The sequence below is a fragment of the Homo sapiens genome, chromosome 17, assembly GCF_000001405.40.
Source record: "Homo sapiens chromosome 17, GRCh38.p14 Primary Assembly".
NCBI lineage: Eukaryota > Metazoa > Chordata > Mammalia > Primates > Hominidae > Homo > Homo sapiens.
The window spans coordinates 49,299,198-49,321,565 of NC_000017.11; the positions used below are offsets into that span (position 1 = coordinate 49,299,198).

At 42.0% G+C, this 22,368-nt stretch overlaps 1 protein-coding gene across 11 annotated transcripts in view; it reads right to left on the reverse strand.

Moving 5' to 3' along the window:
- ZNF652 (zinc finger protein 652) overlaps positions 1-22,368 on the reverse strand; it is a 74,357-nt gene that overhangs the window by 11,081 nt on the left and 40,908 nt on the right. For 5 of the 11 annotated variants that reach the window (XR_934423.3, NM_014897.2, NM_001145365.3 and 2 more), the window contains 4 exons: positions 17,629-18,786; positions 13,501-13,648; positions 12,730-12,845; positions 12,115-12,259 (listed from right to left, as the gene is read on the reverse strand). Coding sequence is in view for 9 of the 11 variants with exons in the window: in NM_014897.2 (NP_055712.1) it covers positions 12,115-12,259; positions 12,730-12,845; positions 13,501-13,648; positions 17,629-18,528 (1,309 nt within the window). In the remaining 2 variants the exon portion in view is untranslated. Of the gene's footprint in view, positions 1-12,114; positions 12,260-12,729; positions 12,846-13,500; positions 13,649-17,628; positions 18,787-21,938; positions 22,149-22,368 lie in introns of those variants that run through there. The other 6 variants (NR_135579.2, XM_047435629.1, XM_047435628.1 and 3 more) reach the window with 3 other exon arrangements.

Sequence of the window (22,368 nt, forward strand, 5' to 3'; positions counted from 1 at the left end):
ATACACCCTACCATCTGGGCTTAGATAAAAGAAGAAGATAAAGATGGGGGAGAAGGCATCTACATTAGTGATCCTCTACATCCTACACAAAGAACAGTTCAAATGGCTTTCTGTGCTCAAGGAAATATCCTAGATGACTCTTTGCCTTTAAATTTAGGCAAGTTAATCTGTAAGAAATTTTTTTTCTTTTTTAGTTTTTTGAGACAGAGTTTTGCTCCTGTCACGCAGGCTACAGTGCGATGGTGCAATCTTGGCTCACTGCAACCTCCACCTCCCGGGTTCTAATGATTCTCTTGCCTCAGCCTCCTGAGCAGCTGAGACTACAGGTGTGCACCACCACGCCTGGCTAATTTTTGTATTTTTAGTAGAAACGGGGTTTCGCCATTTTGGCCAGGCTGGTCTCGAACTCCTGACCTCAGGTGATCTACCCACCTCGGCCTCTCAAAGTGCTGGGATTACAGGTGTGAGCCACTGCGCCTGGCTGCAATTTCTTTTTTAAACAGGATCTTGCTCTGTCACCCAGGGCTGGGGTGCAGTGGTGTGATCACAGCTCGCTGCAGTTTCAACCTCCTGGGCTCAAGCAATCCTCCCAGCTCAGCCTCCCAAATAGCTGGGACTACTACAGGTGCCAGCTACCACGCCTGGCTATCTTTTTTTTTTTTTTTTTCTGTAGAGGCAGGGCCTCGGAATTTTGCCCAGGCTGGTCTTGAACCCATGGGCTCAAGTGATCCTCCCGCCTCAGACTCCCAAAGTGCTGAGATTACAGGTATGAGCTAAGGCCCTGCCCTGTAAGCAATTTCTGATACTCCAAACAAAAGTAAGAATTTTCTGAAAATGTCCTGTGGAACAAAGAAGTCTCTTCCTGTCTATTCATACACAATCCTTAGCATACAGCTTGCTTTTTGGCACTGAACTTAGAAAATACTGGCTTAACAAACCTACAACATGAATTTCACACCACAGTGTTTCTCAATGAGTGCTATGGCATTTCTGCAGACAATTCCTCATTATGTGGGACTATCTGGCACCCAGCATTCCTGGTGCCAGCCTACTGAATACCCACAAGAGATTTCAACAATAAAAAAATGCCGCTATGCCATTTCCCAATGTCCGTGGGTGTAGGGAGGGTGTTGGGGGCTACTGCTCCTAGTTGAGGACCAGTGGGCCAGCGAGTCAAAACAGGAGACAGAATCCCATAGTTCTTAGAGCATTTAGAAAGGAAATTACGTTTGGGTTCTGAGGGCTTAATTTTTAAGCTTCCCTAACTTTCTTTTGAACTTATTGCTTAGTTCCATGCTGTGTCTGCCTGCTTCTCTACCCAGGCTATAGAAAATAAAATCCTTTATGATTCTATATGTCCATCAATCATTTTGTATGGGATGCTGAGGTGAGGCGGGGAGTACTTCTGTATATGCACTTCGGTGAACCATACGCTTGTACTGATCAATTCCTGCATCAGTCCTCCATATCTATAGCTCGTCTCTTCACATTAACTCCTGCTATAAGAGCGTTGCTGTCACTTCCCTTGCTGCTCCCTCTTCTCTCAACGAATGTGTTTATTCTACTCATGTGTATTGGGTCTTACTGTGTACCAGACACTGCTAACTGCTTTACATCTATTAACCTTGGTGATCTTCACAGTGACTGTATGAGGCAGGTATATTATTACCCCTTATTTTACTCATAATGGAATTAATAAACTTGCTCAAGTTTATATGCTAATGGAGAGTTAGGATTTAAAATCTGCAGCCTGGTTCTAGAGTTTATGTTTTTGACATATAAACCACAGTATTTCACAAATCACTCAACATGCATTTCTGCACACATGAAGGGATGTATTTTCTTACTTTCTCATCTACTTTGGGACTCCTTTTTTCCCACCCTCCAGGACCCCTTCTTATACCTAAGAGAAAACACCTCTTTACCCATAGCATAGTCCAAATTTCTTGTCTCCAGCTTTTCATTATAGTAGAAAACTGACATCCCCTATGGCCTCTTCCATGGAAGCCAGAATTTTCCTCACTTTCCTGAGAGACTGAAGAGTCAATTTTCTCCATAACTATCAGTATTATTTGAAGACTATCATATTTCCCTTGTCTTTACGCTTTTTTTTTGAGTCGGAGTCTTGCTCTGTCGCCCAGGCTGAAGTGTAATGAGTGGCACGATCTCAGCTCACTGCAGCCTCTGCCTCCTGGACTCAAGTGATCCTCCCGCCTCAGCCTTCAGAGTAGCTGGGATTACAGGCATGTGCCACCACACCCAGCTAAGTTTTGTATTTTTAGTAGAGATGGGGTTTCACCATGTTGGCCATGCTAGTCTCAAACTCCTGACCTCAGGTGATCCGCCCACCTCGGCCTCCCAAAGTGCTGGGATTACAGGTGTGAGCCACCACACCCGGCCCTCTTTACACTTTTCATTCTTCAATTACTGCCACAGCTAGGCTCCTTACTGTGACTCATATTCATCTTTCTGGATGAATTCTGAGCCCAGATTGTTTTCCTTCTTTTTAATCGATTTCCTCTAACCGTCTTAAAAACTTCAACTTCTGGCAGGGTGTGTTGTTTCAAGCCTGTAATCCCAGCACTTTGGGAGGCCAAGGCAGGAGGATCACTTCAGGCCAGGAGTTCGAGACCAGCCTGGGCAACACAGTGGCACCCTGTCTATATAGTAAAAAACAAACAAAAGCCCTTCAACTTCTGTGTTAAATGGAATTAAGCAAATCAATTATAGTATATTTGTTTGATGGAAAATACCACTGAAAACAATGTTACAGGCTAGGTGAGGTGGCTCACACCTGGAATCCCAGCACTTTGGGAGGCCGAAGCAGGAGGATTGCTTAAACCTAGGAGTTTGAGACCAGCCTGGGCAACATGGTAAGACCCTGTCTTTACAAAAACATACAAACAATTAGCCAGGCATGGTGGTGTGCACCTGCAGTCCCAGCTACTGAACAAGCTGAGGTGGGAGAATCACTTCAGCCTGGGAGGCAGAGGTTGCAGTGAGCTGAGATTGCACCACTGCGCTCAAGCCTGAACCACAGAGAGAGATGCTGTGTCAGAACAACAACAACAACGTTATAAAGTATAGAAATGTAATTTTTTTTTTTTTTGAGGTGGAGACTCACCCTGTCACCCAGGCTGGAGTGCAGTGGTGCAATCTCGGCTCACTGCAACCTCTGCCTCCTGGGTTCAAGTGATTCTCCCACCTCAGCCTCCCAAGTAGCTGGGACTACAGGCACGTACCACCACACCCGGCTAATTTTTTGTATTTTTAGCAGAGACAGGGTTTCACCATGTTAGCCAGGATGGTTTTGATCTCCTGACCTTGTAATCTGCCCGCCTCGGCCTCCCAAAGTATTGGGATTACAGGCATGAGCCACTGCGCCTGGCCCAGAAATGTAATTATTAACATCAAAATGTATAATCTATTAAGTTTATCTATGATCTATTAAATAAAAGCAAGTTATGAAAATGTATACATGAGGACGGGTGTGGTGGCTCATGCCTGTAATCCCAGCACTTTAGGAGGCTGAGGCACGCGGATCATTTGAGGTCAGGAGTTCGAGACAGGCTTGGCCAACATGGTGAAACTCCATCTCTACTAAAAATACAAAAATTAGCCGGGTGTGGTGGCACGCACCTGTAGTCCCAGCTGCTGGGGAGGCTGAGGCAGGAGAATCGCTTGAACCCAGGAGGCAGGGGTTGCAGTGAGCCGAGATCGTGCCATTGCACTCCAGCCTGGGTGATAGAGCAAGACTCCATCTCAAAAAACAAACAAACAAACAAAAAAGCATGCATGGTATTATCTACCTTTTAAAAATATATATACATGGAAAGAAATACAACAGGCCAGCCACAGTGGCTCACACCTATAATCCCAGCACTTTGGGAGGCTGAGGCAGGGCAGATTGCTTGAGCCAGGAGTTCAAGACCAGCCTGGCCAACATAGTGAGACCCCAAATTTATTAAAAGAAAAAAATACAACAAATGTTACCAGTGATTATCTCTAGGTAATAAGATCATGGGTGATGTTTTATTCTTTACGCTTATCTTTTTTTTTTTGAGACAGGGTCTCATTCTGTCACCCAGGCTGGAGTGCAGTGGTGTGATCTCGGCTCACTGCAACCTCCGCCTTCTGGGTTTGAGCAATTCTCCTGCCTCAGCCTCCCAAGTAGCTGGGACTACAGGCATGCACCACCATACCTGGCTAGTTTTTGTATTTTTAGTAGAGACAGGTTTTACCACATTGGTCAGGCTGGTCTCACACTCCTGACTTCAACTGATCCATCCACCTTAGCCTCCCAAAGTGCTGAGATTACAGGTGTGAGCCACTGCGCCTGGCCATGTAGTTTGTTTTCTAAATTAAATATGATTTACTTGTACAATAAAATACTTTAAAAGCACATGTTTGATTAACCTCTAAGCTCCCCTGCTCTGTGACTTCAGAGTTAGTATTCTTCACACCTAGCAGCCATATGGAAACACAGCCAAAGGCCCTAATCTTTGAATTTTAGTCTAGTATGAGCAAATCCTCTCCACATTATTTACTAATCACTTCTTAGGCACACTAGACACTACTCACAGACAGAATGGATTCCCTGAGCAGTTACTGAATGTATGGATGTTTAGGTTTTTTATGTGCTCAAATCCCCTTCCTGGACCTCTCTAATCATCTCTCATTTGCAGTCTTCTTTTTTTTTGTTTTTTCCTGAGACACAGTCTCGCTCAGTCACCCAGGCCGGAGTGCAGTGGTGTGATCTCAGCTCACTGCAAGCTCCACCTCTCAGGTTCATGCCATTCTCCTGCCTCAGCCTCCCGAGTAGCTGGGACTACAGGCGCCCGCCACCATGCCTGGCTAATTTTTTTTTTTTTTTTTTGTATTTTTAGTAGAGGCAGGGTTTCACTGTATTAGCCAGGATGGTCTCAATCTCCTGACCTCATGATTCGCCCACCTCAGCCTCCCAAAGTGCTGGGATTACAGGTGTGAGCCACCACACCTGGCCCTCATTTGTAGTCTTCTATACTATAAGTGATTTGCCACAGAAAGACCAAAAACTACTAGAACTAGCCTACTACAAATGCCTGGATTCAAATTAAAATTGGTTTTTTTTACTGCTTAGTAATCTTTTACTCACTTCTTAATGTCCACATTTGTTGTTCCAGACCTTCACTTGACATTAACCCACAATCCCATCTGCCTCTAAATCTCATTATTCATTAGGCCGCATCTCCTAAATGTGTTTAATGGTTGATATTAAGGTTTCTCTGAAACCTCAAGTTTAAGATTACAATGAGGGTGAAACAAGGATAAATACAAATGTAACATTTAAAATCAACTACCTGTACAATGTCCCACTTTAAGGAAGAGCTGGTAAATGGGTGGCAAGAAGATATAGTAACAGTTAAGTTCATTAAGGTAACTGGAAAAGCATGTATATTAATATATCTAACTATATCACCTAACTGTTACATGTAGATAAAGCTAACCTAATTGTACAGCAATGTAATGAGTCTGAAGAAAGAACAGTATAAATGAAGACAGAGAACCTACAGAGAAGATAGAAAAGAGCAAAAATTTGGCTAGTTGTCTTTTGTATGTGATCTGTCCAATAAACACAAGCATTCCAGTCTGCTTAGGGTGAATATCCTTGGGCAGAATATACATATATGTATATATATGTGTATATATATATATATATACACACACACATACATATATACACACACACATACCTACATATATACATCTAACTGAAATCTTTCTTGAACTTTAAACCCATTTTTCAAACTGCTTACGTGAATGCCCCAGAGATATCTCAAAACAAGTACAAAATTAAATTCATTATCCCATCTAGCAAACCTGCTCTTCCCTCTACTATTCTCTACCTTGACAAATAGTTTTATACCCCACATCTGGGACTAACCCTTGATTCTTCCCTTCTATGCTACCCTTTGATACTACTGATATCCAATCAATCACCAAGTTCATTCAAACAAATAAATTTTAAAAAGTTCATTCAAACTTGGTGATTGAATACTATTTTGATAGTACTGATATCCAGTCAATTCACCAAGTTCTACTTTGTCTATCACTTTAATCTCATTCGTTGCCATTACCATAAATTCTATTTTATTTTATCTTATTATTTTTTGAGATGGAGAATCGCTTGAACCTGGGAGGCGGAGGTTGCAGTGAGCTGAGATCACACCACTGCACTCCAGCCTGGGTGACACAGCGAGACTCTGTTTCAAAATAAATAAATAAATAAAATAAAGATAATAATCTCCTTAATAGATTATTATGATACAAAACGCAAGTAAAGTGCTTACAACAGTATCTGGTAAAGTGCTTACAACAGTATCTGGTAAAGTGCTTACAACAGTATCTGGTAAAGTGCTTACAACAGTATCTGGCACATAGTACTCAATGCATTTTACCTGCTATTATCATCATCATCAACACCATCATTACCATTCACCAGACTATAAGCTCCTGAAGAGCAGAAACCAGGTCTTAATTCATCCTTGTGTCTCTAGGCACATAGCACTGTGCCTGGTATAAGAAGAATCAGTAGGTATTCTATTTTGAACTCACCCTATGTCCACATCATCCTAGTAAACCCTGACTGATGGCTGGTCACCCTTCCTAGATAAGGTCTGCCTCATTTCTCTTTAACTGCAAAGAAACAGTCCAATACTGTCAGTTCATACAATGTCCTTAATCCCCACCAAAACACACTGCTGTCTCTAAATGTAGTTTCATTCAGCCTTAGAGACCTATCCGCATCCCCTTCCTTCTCTAAAGCTAATCCTTCTCTAAAACCAGCATTTCTCCTGCACCCTTTAGGTATTACTGTCATTCTTATTTAATATCAAGAAAACAGAGGTCTAGAGAGGTTACACAATTCTGCTAGTGACTGGCAGAGCCAGGTTTGTCCAACTTCACCATCTAGCTGCTTTTCCAGTTTGGACACTCTGAATAATATTAAAAGGCAGATAGACAAACCAGGGGAAAGTATTTCAACATTAATGAAATTAAAAAAGTCAAACACTGTAATGGAAAGATGAACACAGAAAAGGCACAAGCAATTCAGAAAAGAAAATACGTTGATAACTACAAGCAAATAAACATGTTCACTCTTACTTAGTAATTAAATGCAAATTAATATAAGAAATCATTTCTCACCTATCAAATCAGCAAGGATTTTATTTACAATTATAAAGGGCTGGACAAATGAGTATTTTCCCTCTGGGTTTTTTCAATTTTTTTTGGTTTTTAATAGAGATGGTGTCTCGCTATATTGCCTAGGTTGGTCTTGAACTCAAGTGATCCTCTCACCTCAGCCTCCCAAAGTGCTGGGATTACAGACGTGAGTCACTGCACCTGGTCGCAAATAAGTATTTTCATACAGCTGGTGGGAGTATATGTGGAGGGCATTTCATAATACATGACACTAAGTCTTAAAAATGTATATATCTCTTTGCTATAATAATCCTACTTCCAAAAATTTATCCTAAGTAAATAATTATGGCTGTGATAACACTGTGATAAACGATATTGTAGCTATTTTTTTGAGACGGAGTTTTGCTCTGTCCCCCAGGCTGGAATGCAGTGGCGCGATCTCAGCTCACTGCAACCTCCCTGTCGTGGGCTCAAGCGATTCTCCTGCCTCAGCCTCTTGAGTAGCTGGGATTACAGGCATGCGCCACCACACTTGGCTAATTTTTTGTATTTTTAGTAGAGACAGGTTCTGCTGTGTTGGCCAGGCTGGTCTCGAACTCCTGACCTCAAGTGATCCACCCACCTTGGCCTCCCGAAGTGCTGAGATTACAGGTGTGAGCCACTGTGCCTGGCCTGTGGCTATCTATAACAGTAGAAAAACTGGAAACAGAAATAACATAAATGTCTAGCAGGGAACTGGCTAAATAAATGGAGAAAACATCCTTCACTGGCCGGGCTCAGGGGTGGGGCTCATGTCTGTAATCCCAGCAGTTTGGGAGGCTGAGGCGGGTGGATCACCTGAGGTCAGGAGTTTTAGAGCCTGGCCAACACGGTGAAACCCCGTTTCTACTAAAAATAAAAATTTAGCTAGGCGTGGTGGCACATGCCTGTAATCCCAGCTACTTGAGAGGCTGAGGCAGGAGAATCACTTGAACCTGGGAGGTGGAGGTTGCAGTGAACCGAGATCGGGCCATTGCACTCTGGCCTGGGCAACAGAGTGAGACTCTGTCTCAAAAGAAAAAAAAAAAAAAAAAAAAAAAAGGCCAGGCACAGTGGCTCAAGCTTGTAATCCCAGCACTTTGGGAGGTCAAGGCGGGCAGATCATGAGGTCAGGAGTTCAAGACCAGCCTGGCCAACACAGTGAAACCCCCATCTCTACTAAAAATACAAAAAAAAAAAAAAAATAGGCTGGGCGTGGCAGCATGAGCCTGTAATCCCAGCTACTCAGGAGGTTGAAGCAGGAGAATCGCTTGAACATGGGAGGCAGAGGTCGCAGTGAGCTGAGATCGCACCACTGCACTCCAGCCTGGGCAACAGAGCGAGACTCCATCTCAAAACAAACAAACGACAACAACAAAAATCCTTCACTTTATAGGATTGTTGCAAAGGTTACATTAATTGAGAAAAAGCACTTAAGATAATGCCTGACATATATGTATGTAATAAATTATAGCTAATATTATAGCAAATTTATAAGAAATATATAGCCATTAAAGTTATATTGCTGATGACATAATACAGTAAAATTAAAAGCAGGTTACAACAGAGTATAAAGACCCAACATTTGTTTTTACTATATACATGAACACATAAACACTTATGCAAAGTATTGGTCTATATGTGTGTTAAGAAACTGAAGAATTTTTTTTAATGTGTATATGCCAAAATGTTAAGAGTGGTGATCTCTTGGTGGTATGATTTTACTTTGTTTGCAATTTTCATAGTTTCCCATATATTTTAATAAGTATGTGTTACTCTTTTTTTGGTTTGTTTTGTTTTTTGAGACCAGGTCTTGCTCTGTTGCCCAGGCTGGAGTGACACAATCACAGCTCACTGCAGCCTCGATCTCTTGGGTTCAAACAATCCTCCCTGCCTCAGCCTCCCAAGTAGCTGGGACCACAAGCACATGTCACCACCCCTGCCTAACTTTTGTATTTTTGCAGAGATGGGGTTTTGCCATGTTGCCCAGGCTGGTCTCGAACCTCTGGGCTCAAGATATCCACCTGCCTTGGCCTCCCAAAGTGCTGGGATTATAGGCATGAGCCACCATGTCCAGGTGCATATGAATTACACTTTTAATGAGAAAGATAAAAATTTGGGGGACTGGGCATGGTGGCTCATGCCTGTAATCCTAGCACTTTGGGAAGCTGAGGTAGGTGGATCACCTGAGGTCAGGAGTTCAAGACCAGCCTGGCCAACACAGTGAAACCCCATCTCTATTAAAAATACAAAAATTAGCCAGGCACGGTGGTGCGCACCTGTAGTCCCAACTACTTGGGAGGTTGAGGCAGGAAAATTGCTTGAACCTGGGAGGTGGAGGTTGCAATGAGTGGAGGTCATACCACTGCACTCCAGCCTGGGTGACAGAGCAATAGTCCGTCTCAAAAAAAAAAAAAAAGTTTTGTGGGGGATGGGAATTTAGGTAGTTGTATTCCTTTAGAAGAAACAAGAAGTATTCAGTTTGCCTATTTGGTCAAAGACGAATACTCAACATAAATTTATACAATAACTAAAATAATCATGAAAGAAACACTTGTTTCACATTATGAACATTTAAGGGTCTAAAAAAATGACAAAGAAGAAGAAACAAAGAAATACAAGAGAAAGAGGGAGGAAGGAATGGGGAGAAAAACACACAGGGAGACAGGCAGAGAAGATAAGGGGGATGCAGAGGCAGAGACTTAAGTGCTAGAGGTTCCTTTCAATTCTGTGACAGTTACCAAGCATCTATGTGCCAAGCAGTGTGTGTGAATATGACACAACTTCCGCCTTCACAAAAAACTTATGTTCTGGCCAGGGGTGCTGGCTCACGCCTGTAATCCCAGCACTTTGGGAGGCTGAGGCAGGTGGATCATTTGAGGTCAGGAGTTCTAGACCAACCTCATCAATATGGTGAAACCCTGTCTCTACTAAAAAAAAAAAAAAAAAAAAAAAAAAAAATTAGCCAGGCATGGTGGTGAACTCGCGTAATCTCAACTACTAGGGAGGCTGGGGCAGGAGAATCACTTGAACCCCGGGAGGTGGAGGCTGCAGTGAGCCAAGATTGTGCCACTGCACTCAGTCTGGGTGACGGAGCAAGACTCCATCTCGGAAAAAAAAAAAAAGAAAGAAAACCAAAAAACCCCCCAAAACTTATGCTGTTTAGTTCCATGTTTTCTTGCCGTATCACACACAAAAAAACCTGAACCCTAAAAATGACACTAGAACTAAGAGCCTATCCAAAAGCCACCAAATTATAAGGAGAATCTGTTAACTATTCTGATGTATCCTGCTATCCACTTGGCTATATCTTCAAAGTTATCATTTTCTTTTCAGGTCTAATTTAACTAATAAAACTGCTCTCATGACTCTTCATCTAGACTAAAAATCCTTAAAATCTGAGGGTGCTCTGTTCTGAATGAGAAAGAAGCCCATTAGGTAGGCATTTTTCTTTGGGCTTCAACAGAGAACTGGGAACTAAAGAGATCCAGCCATGGGCAGAATTTCCTCACCACTAGTTAAGTAAAAAGAACAGCAGGCTAAGCAAGATAATCTCTGTTGTTCTTTTTTTTTTGAGACGGAGTCTTGCTCTGTCACCCAGGCTGGAGTGCAGTGGTGCGATCTTGGCTCACTGCAAGCTCCGCCTCCTGGGTTCACGCCATTCTCCTGCCTCAGCCTACTGAGTAGCTGGGACCACAGGCGCCCACCACCATGCCCGGCTAATTTTTTGTATTTTTAGTAGAGATGGGGTTTCACCGTGTTAGCCAGGATGGTCTCGATCTCCTGACCTTGTGACCCACCCGCCTTGGCCTCCCAAAGTGCTGGGATTACAGGCGTGAGCCACCGCGCCCGGCCCTCTGTTGTTCTTTCTAGCTCCACCACTCTGTAGACTAATGGAACCTGGAATCCTGTGATTAGATTTTATTTAGAAACCTGAAAAATGTTTCATCCTGTTCAATTTATGCAAAGATGGCTAATCCCAGAATATCAAGTTTAGACTGAGATACAATGATAGTGTTTATGGGGGAGCTATTATTTTAGCCAGTTCCCTGGAAGCAGGATAATCAGATGCTTGTAAAACTCAAATCCATGCTATGGAACATATGCTCCTAAAACCACAAAGTGGTTAAAATATTAATTAACCTCTTGGAACGGATGTGTTCCTGAAAAGTAGTGAATCTTGGTAAATCATATCAAATCAAACTTAAAGAACAATGAGAGGGGCTGGGCTTGGTGGCTCACACCTGTAATCCCAGCACTTTGGGAGACTGAGGCAGGCAGATCGCTTGAGCCCAGGAGATCGAGACCAGCCTGGGCAACATGGTGAAACCCTGTCTCTACAAAAAATACAAAAATTAGCCAGGTATGGTGGCGCACACCTGTGGTCCCAGCTACTTGGTAGGCTAAGGTGGGAGGATGGCTTGAGCCTGGGAGGCGGAGGCTGCAGTGAGCTGAGATCGCGCCACTGCCCTCCAGCCTGGATAATGGAAAAGAGACCCTGTCTTAAAATGAAACAAAACAAAAAACAGAGAGAGAGGGGTATTCTATTAAAGCAGTCAGTGTCCTCCATCCTTTTAAGGCCCAGAACCCTTTCCTTAGGAAAATAACATGCACATACACAAAAGAAGTTTCATACAATTTCAGGAGTTTCTGAACCCCACGTAAAGACCCCATTGTCTTAAAAGAGCTCAAAGTAAAAAGGCACTCACAAATAATTCTTTTTTAAACAATCAGTTATTAAAGTTAAATTTTTCAGTATCACTAATCTATATTTTTACATATTAGGTTTATTTAAAGTGGGATTTTTGCTTTGAATGCAAATTTGTGGTTTTGATTTTTTTAAAAAACAGACCCACAGATGATCATCAACAAGTGCTTGAGACATTATCTGTACCTTTCCCAAGAAATTCTTACCAGTGTGTGTTTTCATGTGTTCGTCGAAGTACTGCTTCATGTTGAAATCCTTGCCACACCACTGGCACATGAACTGTTTGTGCCCAATATGAATGCTCATGTGGGAGCGTAGCTGGTACTTGTACTGAAACCTTTCGTCACAGTTCTGCATTGGATACAGTGGAGATTTTTGAATGCCAAGCATAGTAGCTTTACCTGAGCCCACCCTAACACAGTCTCTGATACTAGGCTTATTTTTCATATTCAAAATAGAACCTGCTTGTGTCAGCTATTTGGCTTTGCTATATTTCTGCAGGTGAGTTACTAATAAAAGGGAAATTTCCTCACAAAATTATCATTGAAGTATACTCGACTTCTCAGAATCACTGAGAAAAGAAAAATAAGTCATTATGTGTTATTTCCAAGTTAACCTAATCTAAGAGAGTTAACAGTGTGTTAAAAGTGACATTTTTCTACCTTGCAGTGACAGCGCACACAGAGCTCAGAACACATGTCTGAAAGTTCTGTGGAAGGCAGCCTTGTGCCTCCTGCTCCAGCACACCTCTCTCTCACTGGTCCGCCATCTATGCAAACACTAGCCCCTAGGCCTGGGCCTGTAGGTAGCACATTCCTTACCTCGCATCTAAAGGGCTTCTCTCCAGAATGCTGCAAGGAGTGCACCTTGAGTGACATACTGCGTTTGAATGATTTTCCACAGGTTTCGCATGTAAATGGCATGTCTTTTGTGTGTGCTGCAACACAGAATGTACTTAGTGTCAAAACAAAATCCACCAAAAAGCTCAAACTAAAAAGGCATCCTACTGTAAAGCAATTAGGCCATCCTAATTTTCTACACTGATTTGTGAGGCTTTTTTTTTTTTTTTTTTTTTTTTGAGATGGAGTCTTGCTCTGTCGCACAGGCCGGAGTGCAGTGGCGCAATCTTGGCTCACTGCAACCTCTGCCCCCTGGGTTCAAGTGATTATCCTGCCTCAGCCTCCCGAGTAGTTGGGATTACAGGCATGCGCCACCACGCCCAGCTAATTTTTGTATTTTTAGTAGAGACAGGGTTTCGCCACGTTTGCCAGGCTGGTTCCGAACTCCTGACTTAAAGTGATTTGCCTGCCTCAGCCTCCCAAAGTGCTGGGATTACAGGTGTGAGCCACCACACCTGGCCTTTGTGAGGCTCTAACAGTAATGTCTGAAGAGAAAATAATGTTGAAAAGAAAGCTGGGTGTGGAAGACTATACCATCCAATTTGGTGATACTTACTGAAGACATAATGCATTCAGTTTCAACATGTCAAAACTGATTAGGGCAATTCCTCATATCCTGCCCAATCCAGGGCATAAAGCACACAGAAGAACAAGGGAAAATTATAGGTATAAGAGAAAAGCAGAAAAACTTACCAACCATGTGTTTCCGCACATGAGCCATGGTATAGAATTTCTTCTCACAAATTTCACAGGAAAATTTCTTTTCTGCATATCCATGGACGATCTTGATATGTTCATGAAGGGACCAGAGTTTCTTGAACGATTTGTTACAGGAAACACACTGAGCAGGATAAATAGAAATAATATTTATAGGGGCTTACAGCATGCCATACCAGCCTACTGGCAGACCAAACGGATGTGCTTTAGGTTCATGGCACAAGGCCAGAATCCAGATAAGTGCTATTCTTCCACAGAGCCCAGATTCCAACACCAACATCTGTATGTTCTCTTTTCTAAGATGCATCTTTTAGACACTCTTTGGGAGTATGAAAACAATGGCAAAAACTAAGACAAAAAGTGGAAAGTTCCACTAACATCAAAGAATTCACTGCTATTATGAAGTTAGTATTGTACCTATGAAAAGAAACTTCAAGTTTGTTTATTTATTTGAGACAGAGCCTTGCTCTGTCGCCCAGGCCGGAGTGCAGTGGCGCGATCTAGGCTCACTGCAACCTCCACCTCCCGGGTTCAAGCGATTCTCCTGCCTCAGCCTCCCAAGTAGCTGGGATTACAGGTGGGCGTCACCATTCCCGGCTAATTTTTTTTGTATTTTTAGTAGAGACAGGGTTTCACCGTGTTGGCCAGGGTGATCTCGATCTTCTGGCCTCGTGATCCACCCGCCTCAGCCTCCCAAAGTACTGCGATTACAGGCATGAGTCACCAAGCCCAGCCAAGTTTTTTAATTTTTAAACAGAAGTTGCAAGACATTCGAGTTTTAAAAATATATGTATTAAGCAAGTGTGGCTGCCTCCTCCACATCAGTTAGTAAGGTTTTACCAGAGAATATAAACTAATTTTAAATTAGTGTAATAAAAACAAGATTAAACAAAATACATATTAGTGGTATAGGTATTATAGGTATGTAGAAATATAAAAATGTTTTTATGCCTTAGAAAATGCATTTGGAGCCAGGTGCAGTGGCTCACGCCTATAATCCCAGCATTTCGGGAGGCCAAGACAGGAGGATCACCTGAGGTCAGGAGTTCGAGACCAGCCTGACCAACATGGAGAAACCCCATCTCTACTAAAAATAAAAAAATTAGCCGGGCGTGGTGGCGCATGCCTGTAATCCCAGCTACTCAGGAGGCTGAGGCAGGAGAATCTCTTGAACCGGGAGGTGGAGGTTGCAGTGAGCCGAGATCGTGCCATTGCACTCCAGCCTGGGCAACAAAGAGCGAAACTCCATCTCAAAAAAAAAAAAAAAAAAAAAAAAAAAAAAAAAAAAAAAAGAAAAGAAAAGAAAATGCATTTGGAGCATTTATTAATACGAATAATTGAAATGTTATATTTCCTCAAATCTAATTTATACTTTCAAACACGTCCCTCGGGCAGAATATACCCTCTGAACTCTTAGTATTACTCTCTCTCCTTTTTAAAATCATTATTATTTTTTTTGAGATGGAGTCTCACTCTGTCGCCCAGGCTGGAGTGCAGTGGTGTGATCTCGGCTCACCACAACCTCCACCGCCTGGGTTCAAGCAATTCTCCTGCCTCAGCCTCCCAAGTAGCTGGGACTACAGGTGCGTGCCACCATGCCTGGCTAATTTTTGTATTTTTAGCAGAGATGAGGTTTCACTATGTTGGCCAGGCTGGTCTTGAACTCCTGACCTTGTGATCTGCCCGCCTCAGCCTCCCAAAGTGCTGGGATTACAGGTGTGAGCTACTGCACCCAGCCTTACTGTTTCTTTAAAAAATTAAAGAAAATTTTTTTAGTCTAAACTTTAATTAACTAAAGCCTATACCTTTTCCCTTACAGATCAGTTCCAGAGCTCTCTTGTAAGAATCTGTAGAAAACACACCACACTGCCTAGTTCCTTGTATCATGAATCATTAATAGCCTGGAATATTAGGCATAATGTGTATCAGAGTATTTCTGGTTAAAGCAAAACAATACTAGAAAGCTCTTGGTAATCATTAGACCCTTGGATACTTAAGGGAACATGTTAATATTCACTATAAATAAAGATCTCTAAACATCATTGTCACTTCAGGTAACAAGAACTCTGAGAAGAGTTAAAAGATAAACCTCTGGTTGGAAAATGCTCTAGAAAAGGACAGACTACTACTATCAGCCATTTTGTAGGGCAGGTTTTTTGTTTTGTTTTTAGACAGTCTCACTCTGTTGCTCAAGCTGGAATGCAGTGGTGCTATCATGGCTTACTGCAGGATCAATCTCCTGGGCTCAGGCAACCCTCCCAAAGTGCTGAGATTACAGGTGTGAGCCACTGCACCCGGCCTTAGGGGAGGGTTTTAGTTTGTTTTTTTTTTTTTTTTGAGACGGAGCTTCACTCTTCTTGCCCAGGCTGGAGTGCAATGGCACAATCTCGGCTCACTGCAACCTCCGCCTCCCAGGTTCAAGCGATTCTCCTGCCTCAGCCTCCTGAGTAGCTGGGATTACAGGCATGTGCCACCACACCTGGCTAATTTTGTATTTTTAATAGAGATGGGGTTTCTCCATGTTCGTCAGGCTGGTCTCGAACTCCTGACCTCACGTGATCCACCTGCCTTGGCCTCCCAAAGTGCTAGGATTACAGGTGTGAGCCACTGCGCCCGGTCTGGGTTTTAGTTTTTACTTGTTACCAAGTCATCAGGATTATTAGGAGCTATACATAAGAACAAAGTACAGTGTTCTTTATGAATGTGAATAAAGTTCATTTAGCAGAATCCACAAAACTTAAACACAAATTTAAAAGTAGTATGATGAAGAATCGTGAGGAAAGTCACACACAAAAAGTATTTATTAAATGTTTTCTGTAACTTAAACAGACTTAAGTTAAAAAAAAAAAAAAACCCACAAAACCTATATATAAAGATCAAGAACGCTTTCAGTAATGGATCATTACAGAATCCAAGTTTGACCCCTAGAGTGCAGCAGTGCACCACACTCCCTTTGGCCTGAAGTGCTGCAAACAATTCATACCCAAGCCAGGGCACTGGCAGTTACCGGAGGATATGGGCTCCATGACTCAGTCTTCTTTTATTTACCCAGCGTGTTGGAGATCAAGTCACAATTGGTGAATCAAAAGCGGTGAATTTTTAGCAAATGCAATTTCCATTTTTTAAAACTCTTTAAAGTAGAGCAATGATCTCAGATGTTGATTAAAAGCAACAGAAGAAAAGTGAAACTTAAAAAGTGACTACCAATATTAGAAGCACACCAAAAAACAAACCAAACCAACACAATTTATCCTTTATAAGTTTAGCTTAAATATGGTACAAAATATTTCTGTTACATATCTTATGGAGACATGAATAGACTTACCTCTTACGAATATTCATTAATATGCATTCACACGTGCAAACCAATATAACTGCAATCCACTTGACATAATATAATTAGCATACCTCTTTAACCTATCACAATATAGTCCTTTCACGACAACAGCCTGGTTTGAATACCGTTATTTTGTTACCTTAACAATACTGTACAGTGGCATTATGTAACCCTACTGCCAGGTGGGCAACATTTTCGACCAGCTCAGCCTCTGCTTAAAGTTTGCATATTCCCATGGGCTCAGCCTCTTGGCAAATTTAGTGTTGTCATCTCTCCAATGGTAAAAGCAAACTCACTGCTGAAGATCTTCCATTTCCACCGGTCTGAGTCATTATGGTTTTTGTCCCCATCAGCTGTACTAGAATCTGGCATCCTTGTAAACCCAGAAAGGGACCTTTCTCTACTCCTAACCTTTAATCAGTAACTCCTACCTCCACAGAGAAGATGCCAGAATGAATTCTATTACACGTCCTACAACAGTGAATCTCAGTGCAAAGTTGGTGTTGATTTTAACCTCCTGGTCAATCAACTATAACAGATCCCCCTTCCAGTGTGCCTGGGTTCCCACTAGTCCAGCGTCAAATTTAATGCTTTTGAAATAAAAGCCTTGGTTTAGAAAAGACCAAAGCAGGAGCTTTTCAAATGATAAATTGGTGAAAACTGTCCCTTCAGCCTCTATTGCATTTATTCTCTTGGGCGGATACCAGATGAATCTGAACAGCCAGGTTCTATCCTGAAAAGTTTTCCCTCTCGGTGATGAAACCTACCTGAATGTTTTTTTCACAGTCTGTTTGCTGGTGAAGGGACAGCTCACTTTCCAGGACAAACTTCTTGCCACATTTATCACAAATCTGCATGCGCCTATGAGTAACGTTCATGTGCTTCTCCAGGTACCAGCGAGTGTTAAATACCCTGGGGCACTTCTCACAGGTCAGAGTCTCTTTCTCTTCACACTTAGCTTTCTGGACTGGTGCTTTGGGCTCCTTTGTGGCCCGCTTCTTACGCTTAGGTGGCTCTACACTCTTCCTACGACCTCTTGTAGTTCTGGGAGTAGGGGAAGTGGTAGCTGCGGCAACAGAGGCAGCTCTCCTGGTTCTCCTTTGTGTAACGCTGACTTTCTCTACTATCTTCTCCTTTTTCTTCTGCTTTTCATTCTCTCCATAGTCATTGCTGTCATCTGTGGCCTCTTCCTCACTCTCTTCCTCTTCCTCCTCACTGCTTGTCTTAAGAACAGGAGTCTCTTTGGACTGAGAAGAGACACCCTTTTCCCCTTTAGATACATTTAATGTTTGATTATTAAGGTTTACCTCCACTATGATCTGCTCCCTTTTGTAAGAGACTTCTTCCTCTTCCTCCTCTGTGTCATCAGAATTCTCCCGGTCTTCCTTAACAGCATGCACGTCAGACACTGCTCTTGTCTCCCTGAAATATGGCTGTTCTTCTGTTTCATGGAGATGCGGTTTGCTCATCTTGGTGTCCACTAACACAGAATAAGGACTTCCTGATTCCCTTTTGTACACTTTGGTGGACAGGTCAAGTTCTTGGTTGGCACCATGATAAAAGGAAGATGGCACTTGACCACGACGGCTATCTTCTTGTGCCATTCCTGCTACATGCACAGCACAGTTTTCAACCAGCTCCTGACAAGAACTGGCTGTGTGGCTCATTGGTAAGTGGCCCAATTTATTAAACAGTTCAGACTATAAAGAAATAGCTTTAAAACAAGGTAATTATTAAGACTCAAATCTTTTCTCATCCACAAAGAATCACTCAAATGAAAAAAAGATATTCCTGGAAACTGTGTGCAATTCTTCCAGTGTTGCAGCACCAAAGCATGAGTCAAAAAGGTTTGGTATTATGGCAAGAGCAGAGCACTAGTGATTTTTCTTCTGAAGAGAGCTGCAAGGGACTTGGGAGCATCTTATCTACAAAGAAAAGCAAAGAGGAAAAAAATCAGGTAATACCACTATTTCCTTTTTAGAGCATGCATTTAAATCACAAGAAACAGGGCTTAAATAATAATAATTATTATTATTTTGAGATGGAGTCTCACTCTGTCACCCAGGCTGGAGTGCAGTACGCAATCTTGGCTCACTGCAACCTCTGCTGCCTGGGTTCAAGTGATTCCCCTGCCTAAGCCTCCCGAGTAGCTGGGATTACAGGCGCCCGCCACCACACCTGGCTAATTTTTGTATTTTTAGTAGAGACGGGGTTTTGCCATCTTGGCCAGGCTGGTCTTGAACTATTGACCTTGTGATCCACCTGTCTGGGGCTCCCAAAGTGCTGGGATTACAAGCATGAGCCACCACGCCTGGCCAAAATTATTAAACTCTTTACATATACAATGCTTTTAACTGCTTAAATGTTTCAGTATGAGCCATTATTTTACTGGATTACAGGAATTCATAAACATTTTCTGTTAGACTATAAATTTTACAACAGCAAAAGCCACATCTGTCCAGTTCACTGAGATATCCTCAGAGCTTAGCACAGTGTCTAGCATACAGTATATATTTGATGAATAAAATAATATTGCACAGCATTCATTTTCCTAGATACTACGCAATATGCTGATATGGCAAAATATACGGTCTCTATCCACAAGATCTTTACAGTCTAGTTTACAACGTGTTGGGCATGAAACACGCAAGAGCTTTATATTGGCTGACTTTCTTTCAACATCAATCACCATGTCCATCACAGTGAGAGCTCGCAGAACAAAGGGGGTAGTGGGGCAGGCATTGTGGTCCCCGGAAATAAAACAGCTAATTGACATAACTATAGAAGAGAAGAAAAATGTCCTTGGCCTTAAATCATTTATAATCTAGGTTTAAATATAATTGTTTTCAGGTTTATTGGAGTAATTTCAAAGTTGCCAAATATTTTAACATTTGTTCTGTGCATAGCTCACTACATTCACTCAGTAAGTCGGTGATTTTTTATATGTCAGTTGCACAGGAGTCTAAATTCTAAGAAACCATAACCATGAGGTTGATATGGTTCCAAGAAAAATAAAACCATCCAATATTAATTTTTAAAAAGCTTAGAAGGGCATATAATTTGCTTTGTGACATACCTCACATTGCTGTTTAGCCAACCCACCTATCCTCTTGAGTCATATGAATATTACCGTAAACACATACCCTGTCTAGTTGACAAAAGGAAGGAAATGAGTATTTATTAAATGCCTGCTATGGACATAGGCACTATAATAGTTTTTATTGTTCATTATTTATGTTTAATACCCACCACAAAACTGTGGGGTTGAATTTTTTTTTTTTTAAGACAGTGTCGGGCCAGGCGCAGTGGCTCACGCCTGTAATCCCAGCACTTTGGGAGGCCAACGTAGTCGGATCACGAGGTCAGGAGATCGAGACCATCCTGGCCAACGTGGTGAAACCCCATCTCTACTGAAAATACAAAAATTAGCTGAGCATAGCGGCTCATGCCTGTAATTCCAGCTACTCAGGAGACGGAGGCAGGAGAATCGCTTGAACCCAGGAGGCGGAGATTGTAATGAGCTGAGATCGCGCCACTGCACTCCAGCCTGGCGACAGAGCTAGCTAGACTCTGTCTCAAAAAAAAAAAAAAAAAAAAAAAAAAGACAGGGTCTCACTCCATTGCCTAGGCTGGAATGCAGTGGTGCAATCATGGCTCACTGCAGCCTCAACCTTCTGGTCTCAAGTGATCCTCCCACCTCAGCCTCCTGAACAGCTAGGACCAGAGGCATGCACCACCACACCTGGCTAATTTTCAAAAAAATTTTTAGAGATGGGGTCTCCCTATGTTACCCAGGCTGGTGGGACTGATTTTTAAATTTTTTATCAAAATAATCATTTTAAAAATTCATAGTCTTACAATTCAAATGTATTGGCCGTACTCCAATTTATCTCAGTCCCATTTCCTGGAGGCAATAATGCTGTTTTAGCTGCCCCCCTCTCCATTTAATTCTATATTTCTACATAATTTGATTATGTTTCTGTTTCTGGACTTTTTATTTCAATTTCAGATATTACCTTGTCTTTCTCTATAGTTTTCTTACCTTATTGTTCCCAACTCTTCCCTCATGCTCCCAATAGTTATATCACAACTTTGAAAAAAATCAGTATTTATTATTACTATGAGTAGTTCACAATTATTTCTATCACTCCTATGCTAATCCTTTGTCTTCTCTTCCATTTTCTCTTCCATTTCCTTTTTCCTTGTGAGTTTATTCTTTTTCAAAAAAATTACTTTTGCTTTCATGGAATTTCAGGAAGGAGTGGTAATAAATGCTACCATGTTTTACTTGACATTTGAATAGATATATTCCTACTTTCTTGTATTTATAAATGGTAAAATTACGGCTCAGAGAGGCAACATAATTTGTCTAAGATCACAAGTCGCTCAAACGACAGAGGTAGTATTTGACTCCAGGCCTGCCTGACTCCAAAGCTCATTGTCTATTTCTACTATGACAAATGACACCTTGAAATAATTTAAACTCAATTATTCTTTTAACTGCTTATCTTTTTGTACCAGTTTCATGCCTCATATTTTAAGTAGGAAAATCCTAGCAACCTTATTCTACTTGTGCCAAAACTTCTAACCCATGGAAACAATGTGAACTACTATGAGTATCATTTAAATAAACTCATATTATCTCAAATTAAGTAAGGGAGGAATGATGGTAAAATTCAATTAACTAGCAAAAGCTAGGAGTTAAACAAAAATCAGAAAGTCAAAGAAAAGAATAAAGAGTAATCATTAATTCATTTTCCAAATATTTCTGGCTCTCGGCTTTCTGGGCACATGGTAGGCTATTTTTTTTTGGAGACGGAGTCTCGCTGTCACCCACACTGGAGTGCAGTGGTGCGATCTCGTCTCACTGCAACCACGCCTCTTGGGTTCAAGCAATTCTCCTGCCTCAGCCTCCCAAAGTGCTGGGATTACAGGCGTGAGCCACTGCACCCAGCCTAGGCTACACTTTTAAAACCACGCCCACAACTTCTATTCCCTGTAGTTAGATGGGGCCCTGTGACTACTTCTGGTCAGCATATTATGAGAAGTGACAGAGAGAGGCAGGGCATTTACTAACCAATATAAAATCCTTAAGACCTCTTTTCCTTCTGGCACAGTGGCTAGCAATCTTCCAGGTGATGGTTGCTCTCAGCTTGGTCCCCTAAGATGACCTACTGGATAGACATATGTATTTTCTTGGTGTTTTTTGTTTTGTTTTGTTTTGAGACAGAATCTCACTCTGTCACCCAGGCTGGAGTGCTGTGGCATGATCTTGGCTCACTGCAACCTCTGCCTCCCGGGTTCAAGTGATTCTCCTGTCTCAGACTCCTGAATGGCTGGGACTACCGGCGCCCACCACCACGCTTTTTTTTTTTTTTTTTTTTTTTTTGTATTTTTAGGAGAGGCAGGGTTTCACCATGTTGGTCAGGCTGGTCTCCTGACCACAGGTGATCCACCCGCCTTGACCTCCCAAAGTGCTGGAATTACAGGCGTGAGCCACCGTGCCC